Below are 13,066 nucleotides of genomic sequence, written 5' to 3' on the forward strand. Positions count from 1 at the left end.
TTGTCTTCCTATCCATGTACATGGAATATCTCTTCATTTATTTAGATTGCCAGTAATTCATTGAGCATTTACTGAGGGTTTACCGTGCCTTAGCCCTAGGACAGAAAACTAAGGATAAACAAGTTTTGTTGTTGTTGTTTTTGAGATGGAGTTTCACTCTTGTTGCCCAGGCTGGAGTGCAATGGTGTGATCTGGACTCACTGCAACCTCCTCCTCCCAGGTTCAAGCGATTCTTCTGCCTCAGCCTCCCAGGTAGCTGGGATTACAGGCATGGGCCACCACGCCTGGCTAATTTTTGTATTTTTAGTAGAGATGGGGTTTCACCATGTTGGTCAGGCTGGTCTGGAACTCCTGACCTCAGGTGATCTGCCTACCTTGGCCTTGGGATTGCAGGCATGAGCCACCACGCCCAGCCCGGCGTTAATTTCCTTTCATTAGTAAAGGAAGATAGTGCTTTTATAGTACATTAGTAATTTACTAATTTTTTTTTTGTAGGATCAAAAGAAAAGGTAGTTTAGCCCTTGCATCCTTAGAGAATTCTTTTGAAGTTTCCAGGTCTTTAAACTTCTGCTTCTTTCTTTTCTTGGTGTGTCAGTATAGGACACAATTTAATTTGACATATGTTAGATTTGTTTTCATGCAGTGGAGTAATTTTTTCTTTCAAGGAGCTTCCAAGTGAACAGTATACCTTGTCTGCAGCCAGACAACAGAATGGGTTAGCTCACTGGCTTTATACCTTTGTAGGCTGGAAGTGTCGGGTCCAGATTAATTTATTATTGCCATGATTATAATGGAGGATACATTTTTCTATAAAAATACTCTAATCAATATACTGTTTCAAATAGTTTGCAGTCTTTTTTTTTTAATTTAAAAAATTTTTAAATTTTATTGAGACAAGGTCTCACTGTGTTGCCCAGGCTGGAATGCAGTGGCGTGATCTTGGCTCATTGCAACCTCTGCCTTCCAGGCTCAAGTGATCCTCCCATACCTCAGCCTCCCCAGCAGCTGGGACCACAGATGCTTGCTACTATGCCTGGCTAATTTTTTGTATTTTTATACAGATGGGGTTTCACTCTGTTGCCCAGGCTGGTCTCAAACTCCTGAGCTCAAGTGACCCACCAGCCTTGGCCTCTTAAAATGCTGGTATTACAGGCCTGAGCCATTGCACCCAGCAGTTGCAGTCTGAAATGTCAGAATTTTAATTCTGGTAATACCCCTAATTGCAATTTTTTGTTCTAATAAAATGCTGTATAAAAATAAGTAATGTTAACTGGTTTTCATGAGGCAGTATCAGAGCTAAAAATACCAGTGGGCACAGTGGTATCCCAGCTCCTTGGGAGACTGAGGTGGGATGATTGCTTGAGCCCACGAGATCAGGGCCAGCCTGGGCAACATAGCAAGACCCCATCTCTGATAAGAAATTAAAAAATAGGCCAGGTGTGGTGGCTCACACTTGTAATCCCAGCACTTTGGGAGGCTGAGGCAGGTGGGTCACCTGAGGTCAGGAGTTTAAGACCAGCCTGGCCGACATGGTGAAACCCTGTCTCTACTAAAAATATAAAAATTAGCCAGGCGTGGCGTGCACCTGTGTTGCCAGCTACTGGGGAGGCTGAGGCGGAGAATTGCTTGAATCCAGGAGGCGGAGGTTGCAGTGAGCTGAGATCGTGCCACTGCACTCCAGCCTGGGTGACAGAGTGAGACTCCATCCCCAAAAAGAAAAAAGAAAGAAAGAAATAAACAAGCTAAAATATTTCAAAACCTATTACAGAGTATTGAAGTAGGAGTTAAGAGTGCAGGGTTCTGTCCAGCTCCACTACTACCTAATTATCTGACCATGGCCCTAGTTTTTCTAGATTTCATTTTTCATTTGTAAAACCAAGAAGTTGGATTAAGGTGACCAACTCTAATAGTCTTTTAAGGCTAGAAAAAGAAAAATGTTTTTTCCATGTTGGAATATTTAAATAGATAAAATCAGTGTGGTGTTAGCCTTTTTTGGGTGACATTTATTCTTATATAATTTCAAATAAGAATAGCAAAGGAATTCCTTTATACCTTCTATGCAGTTTCCGCAATTTTTAACATTTTACCCCCTTTGCTTTATTACTCTGTCTCCCTCTATATATGTATATATAAATGGATTTTTTTCTTTTTCTGAATCATTTAAGAATAAATTGGAAGCATTGTGCTCCCTTACCACAAAATATTTACATCTGTATTAGGCAAGAACAAGGGCAATCTCTCATTTAACCATAGTACATTAATCAAAATTCGGAAATTGTTTTGTTTTGTTTGAGAGAGAGTCTCACTCTGTTGCCCAGGCAGTAGTGCAGTGGTGGGATCATGGCTCACCGCAGCCTTGACCTCCCGGGCTCAAGCAATTCTCCCACCTCAGCCTCCTTAGTAGCTGGGACCACATGCATATGCTACCATGCCTGACTAATTTTTAAAAATTTTTTGTAGAGATGAGGTCTCCCCATGTTGCCCAGGTTAGTCTCAAACTCCTAGGCTCAAGCAATCCTCCTGCTTTGGTCTCCCAAAGTGCTGGGTTTACAGGTGTAAGCCACTATGCCCGGCCTAAAGTTTGGAAATTTAACTTTGATACAATATTATTATCTAATCCAGAATCCATATTGAAATTGTCCATTTTCCCTAGAATCTACAGAAAGTAGTTTGAGAATTGGTAAGTTACAGTACTGTGAAAAACAACCCTATATAACTACAGTTTGATATTTGTTTACAGTTAATTTTAGGTAAAATTTACATATAGTGAAATGCATAAATTTTAGGTGTATAATTCAATGAATTCTGTAAAATGCTTATACCCATGTAACCCAAGCCCTGTCAATATATAGAACATTTTTATCACTAGCAAGTTCCCTCAGTGCCACTTCTTAGTCAGATATCACTCTACCTACCTTTGGTTAAACACTTTTCTTATTTTTTTCTGATTAGTTTGCCTCTTCTGAAACGTCATATAAATAGAATTTTTTTTTTTCTTTTGAGACAGAGTCTTGCTCTGTCATCCAGGGTGGAGTGCAGTGGCACAATCTCGGCTCACTGCAACCTTCACTTCCTGGGTTCAAGCAGTTGTCCTGCCTCAGCCTCTGGAGTAGCTGGGATTAGAGGTCCCCGACACCATGCCTAGCTAATTTTTGTATTTTCAGTAGAGACGGGGTTTTGCCATGTTGGCCAGGCTGGTCTCGAACCCATAACCTCAGGTGATCCATCAGCGTCGGCCTCAGCCTTCCAAAGTGCTGGGATTACAGGTGTGAGCCATTGTGCCCAGCCCAAAACTTCATATAAATAGAATTATACACTCTCCTTTCTTGTGTCTGGCTTCTTTCAGTCAACATAATGTATGTTAAGGTTTATTCATATTGTTGTATGTATGAATACTTTATTCTTTTTGTTGTTGACTAGTATTCCACTTTATGAACATACAGTTGTGCATTATCCTGTTGATGGACATTTGAATTGCTTCTTGTTTAGTTCTATTTTTGAGTAAAGTTGTTTTGAACATTCTTGCACAAAAATTTGAAGGTGTTTATTTTCATTTTTCTTAGATAAGGTAAATGCCTAAGAAAGAAATTTGCTGTGCCATCGAGTAGGTATATGTGAATCTTTAAGAAACTGCCAAACCTTTTCCCTGAACAGTTGTACCATTTAAAAATCACATCAGCAATGTTTGAGAGTACAGCTTGCACTAAACACCCCTCTCAACATTTGGTATTGCCAATCATTTTATTTTACACATTCTATTATGTACCTCTTTGTGGTTTTAATTTGCATTTTCCTGATGACTAATAATGTTGAGCACTTCTTCATGTGCTTATTGGCCATTTTTCTGTCTTCCTTTGTGATGTCTTTTAAAATATTTTGCCCATGTCTTTTTATTTTTGAGACGGAGTCTTGCTCTGTCGCCCAGGCTGGAGTGCAGTGGCATGATTTTGGCTCACTGCAACCTCCACCTCCTGGATTCAAGCAATTCTCCTTCCTCAGCCTCACAAGTAGCTAGGATTACAGGCTTGCATCACCATGCCTGGCTAATTTTTGTAATTTTAGTAGAGACGAGGTTTTGCCATGTTGGAGGCTGGTCTCAAACTCCTGACCTCCTGACCTCAGGTGATCCGCCCACCTTGGCCTCCCAAAGTGCTGGGATTACAGGAGTGAGCCACCATGCCCGGCCCCTTGTCTTAAATTAAAAAAAAAAACAAAAAAACTTTAATTCGTGGATTCTTTCTTCTGCCAGCCCAGATCTACTGTTGAGCCCCTCTATGGCAGTTTCCATTTTGTTTCTTGTCCTTGTCAACTCCAGCGGTCAGTCAGTGATTGGTCGGAGGTTGTACCTAGCTAAGCCTTTTAATTTAAGCCAGTGATGTTTTCACCTTTTACTGTTGAATCTGTGTTTCTGGTTAGGAGACTACTTTCATGGTTGAGGGAGTTGATGAATTTGTACTGTGTTCAGCCAAGGAGTCGAGGCTCAGACATTCCCTCTCTATTTACTTCTCAGAAGGCACAGCTTTGGGCATGAGAACAATCTTCTAGAACACCAGGAAGACTATGCTCTTAGCAGGTCTCTGTTTCCTTCATTGATTTCTTCATTGAATTTTTGGCTGGTCTGTCTCTATTGGTGTCACAGCAAGCTGTTAGTCTCCACTGATTGCTAGCTGCTGGCTCTGTTGTTTTTGACAGTGCCCAGAGCATAAATTGCTCCATAGTCTTGATCCAAATAAAGTTGGGCACCTCGGCAGGGGCAAGGTATTGCCCGTCTTTGATAATCCTTTCCCCATCCTTTCCTGGAAACAATCTCTGTGCTATGGAGCAGGAGTTGGAGAGGGTGGTGGTGGTAATGGGGGCCTGTTCTTCAGTGGCTCTCCTATCTGGGTCCTCCCTAAATAGCAGAAGCTTGGGGTTGGGGAGTTAGGAGCTGATACTGTGGCTCACTTTGCATCTTCCTCAGCACAAAGCCTTTTGAGATGCAATCTCTGGATGTTCACTAGTTGCAAACGTACAAACCTGGAATAGCTCTAGGAAACTGGGAGTAGTGGGAACTACCACTGAGCTGCTGAACCCATTGGAACAACTCTTCTGCAACACAGAGCTGTGGGGAATAGAGGACTGCGTAGGCTGTCATTATCTGTTATGCTTTGATCTTCCCTACCGAGTAGCATTTAGGAGTCAGGGAAAGGGTGCCGCTTTCAGGCTGCCTTGAAGGCTCTCGCATAGCCCTTCCACACACACAGCTGTTGAGAGTGGGGCATTCTTCCTACTGTCCTTACCGAATTCCATAGATTAGGCTTGTCTTAAGCATTTTAATCAATCTCCAGAGACTTTGAATGATTGTCTTTGGTAATTTTGACTAGTTTAATAGATGTCTCTCTAGAAAAGAAGTTTTACCTAACTCCTCACATCACCATTCCCAGTACAGTTGACCCTTGAACACACAGGTTTGAACTGTGCAGGTCTACTTATTTGTAGATTTTTTGTTTTTTGTTTTTTTTTTTTGAGACAGAATTTTGCTCTTGTTGCCCAGGTTGGAGTGCAGTGGCACAATCTCAACTCACCACAACCTCTACCTCCCAGGTTCAAGCAATTCTCCTGCCTCAGCCTCCCGAGTAGCTGAGATTACAGGCATGTGCCACCATGCCCAGCTAATTTTGTATTTTTAGTAGAGATGGGGTTTCTCCATGTTGGTCAGGCTGGTCTCGAACTCCCAACCTCAGGTGATCCTCCTGCCTCGGCCTCCCAACATGCTGGGATTACAGGCGTGAGCCATGCACTCGGCCAATTTTTTCAATAAATATATTGGAAAAGTTTTCGGAGATTTGTGACACTTTGAAAAAACTCACAGATGAACTCCGTAGCCTGGAAATACCAAAAAAATTAAGAAAAAGTATGTCATGAAAACATAAACTATGTGTAGGAAATGCTGCAGGATAATTAAGGAATCAGAGAGACCGAGGGGTTGAGGAGGAGTTATTTAATTATTTAGGTGCACCAACCCAGTTGGATTAACATCCAAAGGACTGAGCCCTGAACAAAGAGTCAAGCTACCTTTTAAGCATTTCGTGGGGCGGGGGGAGATCTGTGCAGGGGGAAGCATATTACAGAAGTGAGAAACAAAGACAGTTATTTAATTAAGACGTGCATTACATTATTTCTTACTTTTCAAGGAACAACATGTTTTACGACTTGAGATTATCTGTCTAGTGACCTTGAAGCTGCACAGCTCGAGAGTCTTCACAATGCCTGGGAAGGGGTGAGATAAGGCTCACTAGCCACAGAGAGAAAAACAGGCAGTTAATTTTAAAGGACTCCAGCTCTTTCTCTTCCTCGGGGAATTGGGTTTTCTTACATACAACTGAGTTTTTGCTTATACAGTCTTTAATTTCTTTTAATTCCTGTTCCAGTACTAGTCTGTTTTATAATTTACTACCATAAAATATACACAAATCTATTATAAAAAGTTAAAATTTATCAAAAATGCATGCAAACACAGACTGCATGGTGCCATGATTCTAGGGATTCCAGGAGGCACTGACTCACAGGTAGGCTTTTCTCCTGGTATTGCGAGCCAGGATGGGGTCGATGCTGGAGTCTAGGGCAATTTGACTTTTGGCATGATATCTTCTGGGGGATGGCAGTTAGGTGCTTGAAATGAAATATTTTGGGTTAAAAATTAGTATCCCTGGCTGGCGTGTTGGCTCAAGCCTGTAATCCCAGCACTCTGGGAGGCCAGGGCGGGCGGATCACCTGAGGTCAGGAGTTCAAGGCCAACCTGGCCAACATGGTGAAACCCCATCTCTACTAAAAAATGTAAAAATTATTTGGGTGTGGTGGTGTGTGCCTGTAGTCCCAGCTACTTGGAAGGCTGAGACAGGAGAGTCCCTTGAACTTGGGAGGTGGATGTTGCAGTGAGCCAAGATTGCACCACTGCACTCCAGCCTGGGCAGCAGAGCGAGACTGTCTCAAAAAACAAAACAAAAAACAAAATTAGTCTCCCGGAGCAGTTCAAGAAATGGAGATTAATAATCATTTATATCTTTTCCTTACCAGGGTCATTTGTATGTTTGTATGGTCTGAGATAAATCATATTCTTTTTTATTTTTTTGTCTCTAGCTGCTTCATTCAGTTGCTACCTAGGTAACATAGTTGGAAGCTACTTAAAGCATGGGATAGAAGACTTTATACCTTCATCAGTGTTTTCTTTAATCAAATTACTTTCCTCCTAGTAACAGGAACTGCTGCTTTGCAGATTCACATCGTATTCTATAGTAAATGCTGCTCCCTGGATTCAGGCAACATTGTGCCTCTGCTAGATCTAGCTGTGATAGGTATAGGGAATAGGAATTGTGATGTGACGTGTTAGATTGAAGGAAAGGATCCCTATGCAGTTTTGAAAAAATGGCACTCTGAAAGATTAGCCCTGGATAAAGTGCTGTATGGGGAATTTGGGCAATCAGAGAGCACATGAGTCCTGAATGGGATCAGGGGAAGTGGTATCGAAGTAATTAACAGATAAATCTCAAAAACGTAATGTTGAGCAAGAGAAAACAGACACATCAAGTACATACTATACGATTCATTTATACAAAGGTTAAAAATGGGCAAAACCCATCTGTAGGATTAGAAGTCAGGATATAGTTATTCTTGTGGAAGGGAATGGGTAGTTACTCGAAGGAGGGCATAAAAGGGGGCTGTTGAGATGCTGGTGATACTGTTTGTTGATCTGGGTACATTGGTATGTTGTGTTTGTGAATATTATATGAGCTACACACTTACGTCCTGTGTAATTTTCTGTATGCATATTATACTTCAATATTACATTAAAAAAGAAAATGTTCGTAGTAGGTCAGTTCTGCATATATGGAGATCATGTCTAATTGCCCATAATTGGGAATTGGATAAATAAGAACTGGTTAAATTGTGTTATGTTCCCCATACTCCTGGGGAATACCATATCATTGTTTTTTTCTTTAGACAAGGTTTCACTCTGTTGCCCAGGCCAAAGTGCAGTGATGCGATCACGGCTCACTGTAGCCTCAACCTCCTGGGCTTGGGCCGGGCACGGTGGCTTATGCCTGTAATCCCAGCACTTTGGGAGGCCGAGACGGGCAGATCACAAGGTCAGGAGATCGAGACCATCCTGGCTAACATGTGAAACCCCGTCTCTACTAAAAATACAAAAAATTAGCCGGGCGCGGTGGCGGGCGCCTGTAGTCCCAGCTACTCGGGAGGCTGAGGCAGGAGAATGGTGTGAACCCGGGAGGCGGAGCTTGCAGTGAGCCGAGATCGCGCCACTACACTCCAGTCTGGGCGATAGAGCGAGACTCCGTCTCAAAAAAAAAAAAAAAAAAACCTCCTGGGCTCAAGCGATCTTCCCACCTCAGCCTCCTGAGTAGCTGGGACTACAGGCATGCATCACCATGCCTGGCTAATTTTTGTATATTTTGTAGAGACAGGATCTTGCTTTGTTGCCTAGGCTTGTCTTGACCTCCTGGGCTCAATTGATCCACTTGCCTTGGCCTTTGAAATTGCTGGGATTACAGGTGTGAGCTACCACACCTGGCCCTATATTGCTATTTTTGAGAAAGAATAATTCTATATGTACTGATATGGAGTTGTTATTAAATAAACAAATTTTCAGATTATATATTCCATTTATAGAAAAATGAAACACTATGTACATATGCTTATATATACATAGAAATTACCTGGAAGGACACACACTAAATAATGAACAGTACTTTGTCTTGAGGATTGGTTTATGGGTAGTGTGACTGGGGAACATTGAACTTTTACATGATATTCTTTTATACCATTACATTTTTTTTTCTGTAAGCATGGATTACTCTTATAACAAAACTAATTTAAAAAGTAAATTACAAATACTATTTTTAAAAGGCAAATAGATTGGGAGAAGTAATGTTGCTATTCAGGTAAAATCTCCAAAGTGATATGAAAAGAAAAAAAGGAATTGTGGGAGAAATAGAGCTTCCTAAGAGAAGTTAAGAAGAGTTAATATAGTTCTACCTTACTTCACCCCAGAGGATGAGGCAGATTTTAATGAGTTTCTGAAAGCAAAGTGATTGTAGGCACTTAATGCAAAGTATAACTGAATTGCCTCTCCAATTCTTTTAGTTGATCCAGAGTACCAGAAGGAAGCAGAACAGAGACATCGAGAATTGGCAGCTAAAGCTGGAGGATTTAATGACTTTGCAACTTTAGCTGTCATCTTTGAACAATGCAAATCAAGGTATGTAAGGTAGTCCTTTGTCCTGAAAAATGTCAATTTGATGTATAGTTCCAATACGTACTTATGATGTGGCTTGTGACACTAACGTTCAGTGAAGATGATATTGACTTCAAGGTATTTTGAATTTCAGTGAAATTATCTATGTCAGATGACTATTGCTTAGTAGGCATTTATTATATAACATTGATTCTCTTCTTTTCTCCTCAAACCTTTACTGAAAATGACCTTATAGAATTTTGCTTCTATATAGGTAGCCTAGATTAAAAAATGATTGGATATTTGTTATTGCATATATAAGTAAAGAAATCCATTTACAAATTATTTTTTAATTTAGTCAGGGGCACATTCATTAATTTAAATGTTTTTTTCAAGTTTCCTAAAATTCTTTTTTAGTACTTGGACAGGTCTCCTGAAGGAACTGACAGTTGTTTATGGGTTTCCACTTTTGTAATAGAAATGAGAATTTTAGATTGTCTTTTACTTAGAGAAGATATTTTAAAGATACCAGTTTTTTGTTTTGCAGTGGAGCTCCAGCTTCATGGTGCCAAAAACACTGGATTCATTGGAGGTGCTTATTTTCTGCATTTCGTGTGGAAGCTCAACTTCGAGAACTAATCAGGAAGCTTAAACAGGTGATTGCCGTAATGTTTTTTTTCTTGAGTAGCATTTTGGACCTATATATTTCATATTGAAGTTTCATTGATGTACATTAGCACCCTTTCTATTCTACCACCCTTCCATTCTATTTGTTTCTATGACCTCCTTGACCCCATGAAACATTCCTAGTAGTGATAAAAGAATTGTCTTCACAGAAATGAAGATATTTAAAAATTGCTTTCCTGATATATAATTGACGTGTGATAACCTACACATATTTAATGTATACACTTTGATGAGTTTTGACATTTGCGTAAAACAACTATCAAGATAATGGTACATATCCATCATCTCCCAGTTTTCTCATCCTCCCCCCCACCTTTTTTTTTTTTTGAGATGGAGTCTCACTCTGTCACCCAGGCTGAAGTGCAGTGGCGTGATCTCGGCTCACTGCAATCTCCACCTCCCAGGTTTAAGCAATTCTTCTGCCTCAGCCTCCCAAGTAGCTGGGATTACAGGCTTGCGTCACCACACCCGGCTAATTTTTGTAGTTTTAGTAGAGATGGGGTTTTGCCGTGTTGGCCAGGCTGGTCTCAAACTCCTGACCTCAAGTGATCCACCTGCCTCGGCCTTCCAAAGTGCTGGAATTACAGGCATGAGCCACTGCACCTGTCCTCATTCCCTTTCATAATCCATTGTCTCACCTACTAGGCCCTCCTGCCCCACCAACCCAGGTAACCACTAATCTGCTTTCTGTCATGATACAGTAAGTCCTCACTTAATGTCATCAGTAGGTTCTTGGAAACTGTGAGTTTAAGCAAAATGATATACAGCAGGCCCTAGAAAAATATTGTTTTATTCACCATTGTTTTAACACTGATGAGAGAAAAAAAAAAATCTTAAAAATTTTGCTTAACTTTGCAGTTTTTAAGAACTTATCATTGACATTGAAGACTTACTGTATATAAGTTTGCATTTCCTAGCATTTTACATAAATGGAATCAAACAGTATATGCTCTTTTTTTTTTGGTCTGGCATCTTTTACTCCTCATGATTATTAGTTTTTCAATTTATATATCTTATTTTGGTAAAATAATTAATATAAAATTTACCTCTACTGGGCATTGATGATTAACCCCTGTAATCCCAATGCTTTGGGAGGACGAAGTGGGAGGACCACTTGAGGCCAGGAGTTCAAGACCAGCCTGAGAAACAGTGAGACCCTGTCTCTACAAAAAAATTAAAATAATTAGCTTGTTGTGTTGGCACACACCTGTAGTGCTAGCTACTCAGGAGGCTGAGGCAGAAGGATTACTTGAGTCCAGGAGTTTGAGGTTGCAGTGAGGTATGATGCCACTACACTCTAGCCTGGGCAACAGAGCAGCAGCACCCTGTCTCAAAAAAATTTTTTTTTTTTTTTTTTTTTACTGTTTTTATGCGTACAGGTCACTGCACACTTAAAACATTTACAATGTTGTGCAGCCCTTACCACTTCTCCATCTCCAGAACTTTTTTTTATCATCCCATACTATAATAAAACTCCATAACCATTCAACAATAACTCCCCATTCCCGACAGTGCATGGTAGCTCACGCCTATAATCCTAGCACTTTGGGAAGCCGTAGTGTGGGGATCACTTGAGCCCAGCAAGTTTGAGACCAGCCTGGGCAACACAGTGAGACCTTGTCTCTACTAAAAAAAAAAAAAAAAAATTAGCCAGGCGTTGTGGCACACACCTGTAGTGTCAGTTACTCAGCAGGGTGAGGTAGAGGATTGCTTGAGCCTAGGAGATCCAGGCTACAGTGAGCTGTGATCACACAACTTCACTGCAGCCTGGGTGACAGAGTAAGACCCTGACTCAAAACAAAAACAAAAAAACCTACCCATTATCTTCTTTCTCCAGCCTCTGGAAACCACTGTTATAATTTCTCTGTTTCGTTATGAGTGTTTTCTGTTTGCCTTATCTTAAAGTTCATTAATCTTTTCTCCTGCAGTGTCTAGTCTAATCTGCCATTAATCCCATCTAGTATATTTGTCATCTCAGGTGTTGTATTTTCATCTCTAGATGTTGGATTTCAGTCTTTAAATTTTTACATTTTATTTTTCAGGTCTCTACTTTTTGAACATATGTAATCCAGCTATACAGAAAATTATAATAAAATATAATTAGATCTGTGTCAGTTCTAGGTTGATTTTGATAGATGTCCTCATTATGGATTGTGTTTTTTTGCTTCTTTACATCATACCTGATAATTTTTCAGCGGATGCCAAACATTGTGAATTTCACCTTGTTGGGTGCTGGATATTTTTGTGTTCTAGTTACTTGGAAATGGTCTTTGGTCTTTCTTGTTGGGTCTTGCTTGCATGATTTGTTAGGTGGGATCAGAGCAGTGCTCAGTGCAGGGCTAGTTATTCCCCTCTACTGAGGCAAGGCCCATCTGAGTACTCTTCCTAACATCACATGAATTACTGTAGTGTAGTATTCTCATGTGGCTTATAGGAACAGGCGCCATTACTAGCCCTGTGAAAACACCATGCCCTTACTTATCCTTTTAAGAGGTTCTTTTCTTGGGCTGGTAGTTTCCTCACATTCATGTGCTAATCACTACTCAGCTCAACACTTGAGGAGGACCTTCTGCATCTCTCTGGAGTTGTGTCTTTGTGCACTTCTCTTCTCTCCTGAACTCTTGTCCTGTGAATTCTAGCCACCTTGGTCTTCCTGGACTCCCAGCTTTCTCTCCCTAACCCAGGGAGTTCTCTGAGTTCCATTTGGGCTTTACTTCCCTGTACCTTGGTCTGCAGTCTTTATCAAGGCTGAAGTTGGGGCAGTTGTTGGGCGTACTGCGTTTATTTCCTGTCTCTGTCCTTTATTGCCTGATATTACAGTGTTTTGGAAATCATTATTTCATGTATTTTTTCCATTTTTTTGGTTTCAGGTGGAAGGGTAAATCTGGTCTCTCTTAATCTATGTTGGCCAGAAACAGAGGTCTTTAGAAATGTGGATTTTTCAAAATAAAAGATTATTTCAAATTGTACTATGAGATTTACCACTCTCTACATATTCTTTTTATAGCAAAGTGATTTCCCAAAAGAGACCTTTGAAGGCCCTAAACATGAAGTACTACGAAGATGTCTTTGTGCGGGCTATTTCAAAAATGTAGCTCGAAGGTAAGCAATAAAGACTTGAGAGATGGATCAAGATATAATACTGTA

At 40.6% G+C, this 13,066-nt stretch overlaps 1 protein-coding gene across 6 annotated transcripts in view; it reads left to right on the top strand.

The window, feature by feature from the left end:
• DHX40 (DEAH-box helicase 40) overlaps positions 1-13,066 on the top strand; it is a 42,736-nt gene that overhangs the window by 23,986 nt on the left and 5,684 nt on the right. For all 6 annotated transcript variants that reach the window (NM_024612.5, XM_006722083.4, XM_011525253.4 and 3 more), the window contains 3 exons: positions 9,142-9,256; positions 9,780-9,888; positions 12,927-13,021. In NM_024612.5, coding sequence (NP_078888.4) covers positions 9,142-9,256; positions 9,780-9,888; positions 12,927-13,021 — 319 coding nt within the window. The remainder of the gene's footprint in view (positions 1-9,141; positions 9,257-9,779; positions 9,889-12,926; positions 13,022-13,066) is intronic.

The sequence above is a fragment of the Homo sapiens genome, chromosome 17 (assembly GCF_000001405.40).
Source record: "Homo sapiens chromosome 17, GRCh38.p14 Primary Assembly".
NCBI classification, from domain to species: Eukaryota; Metazoa; Chordata; class Mammalia; order Primates; family Hominidae; genus Homo; species Homo sapiens.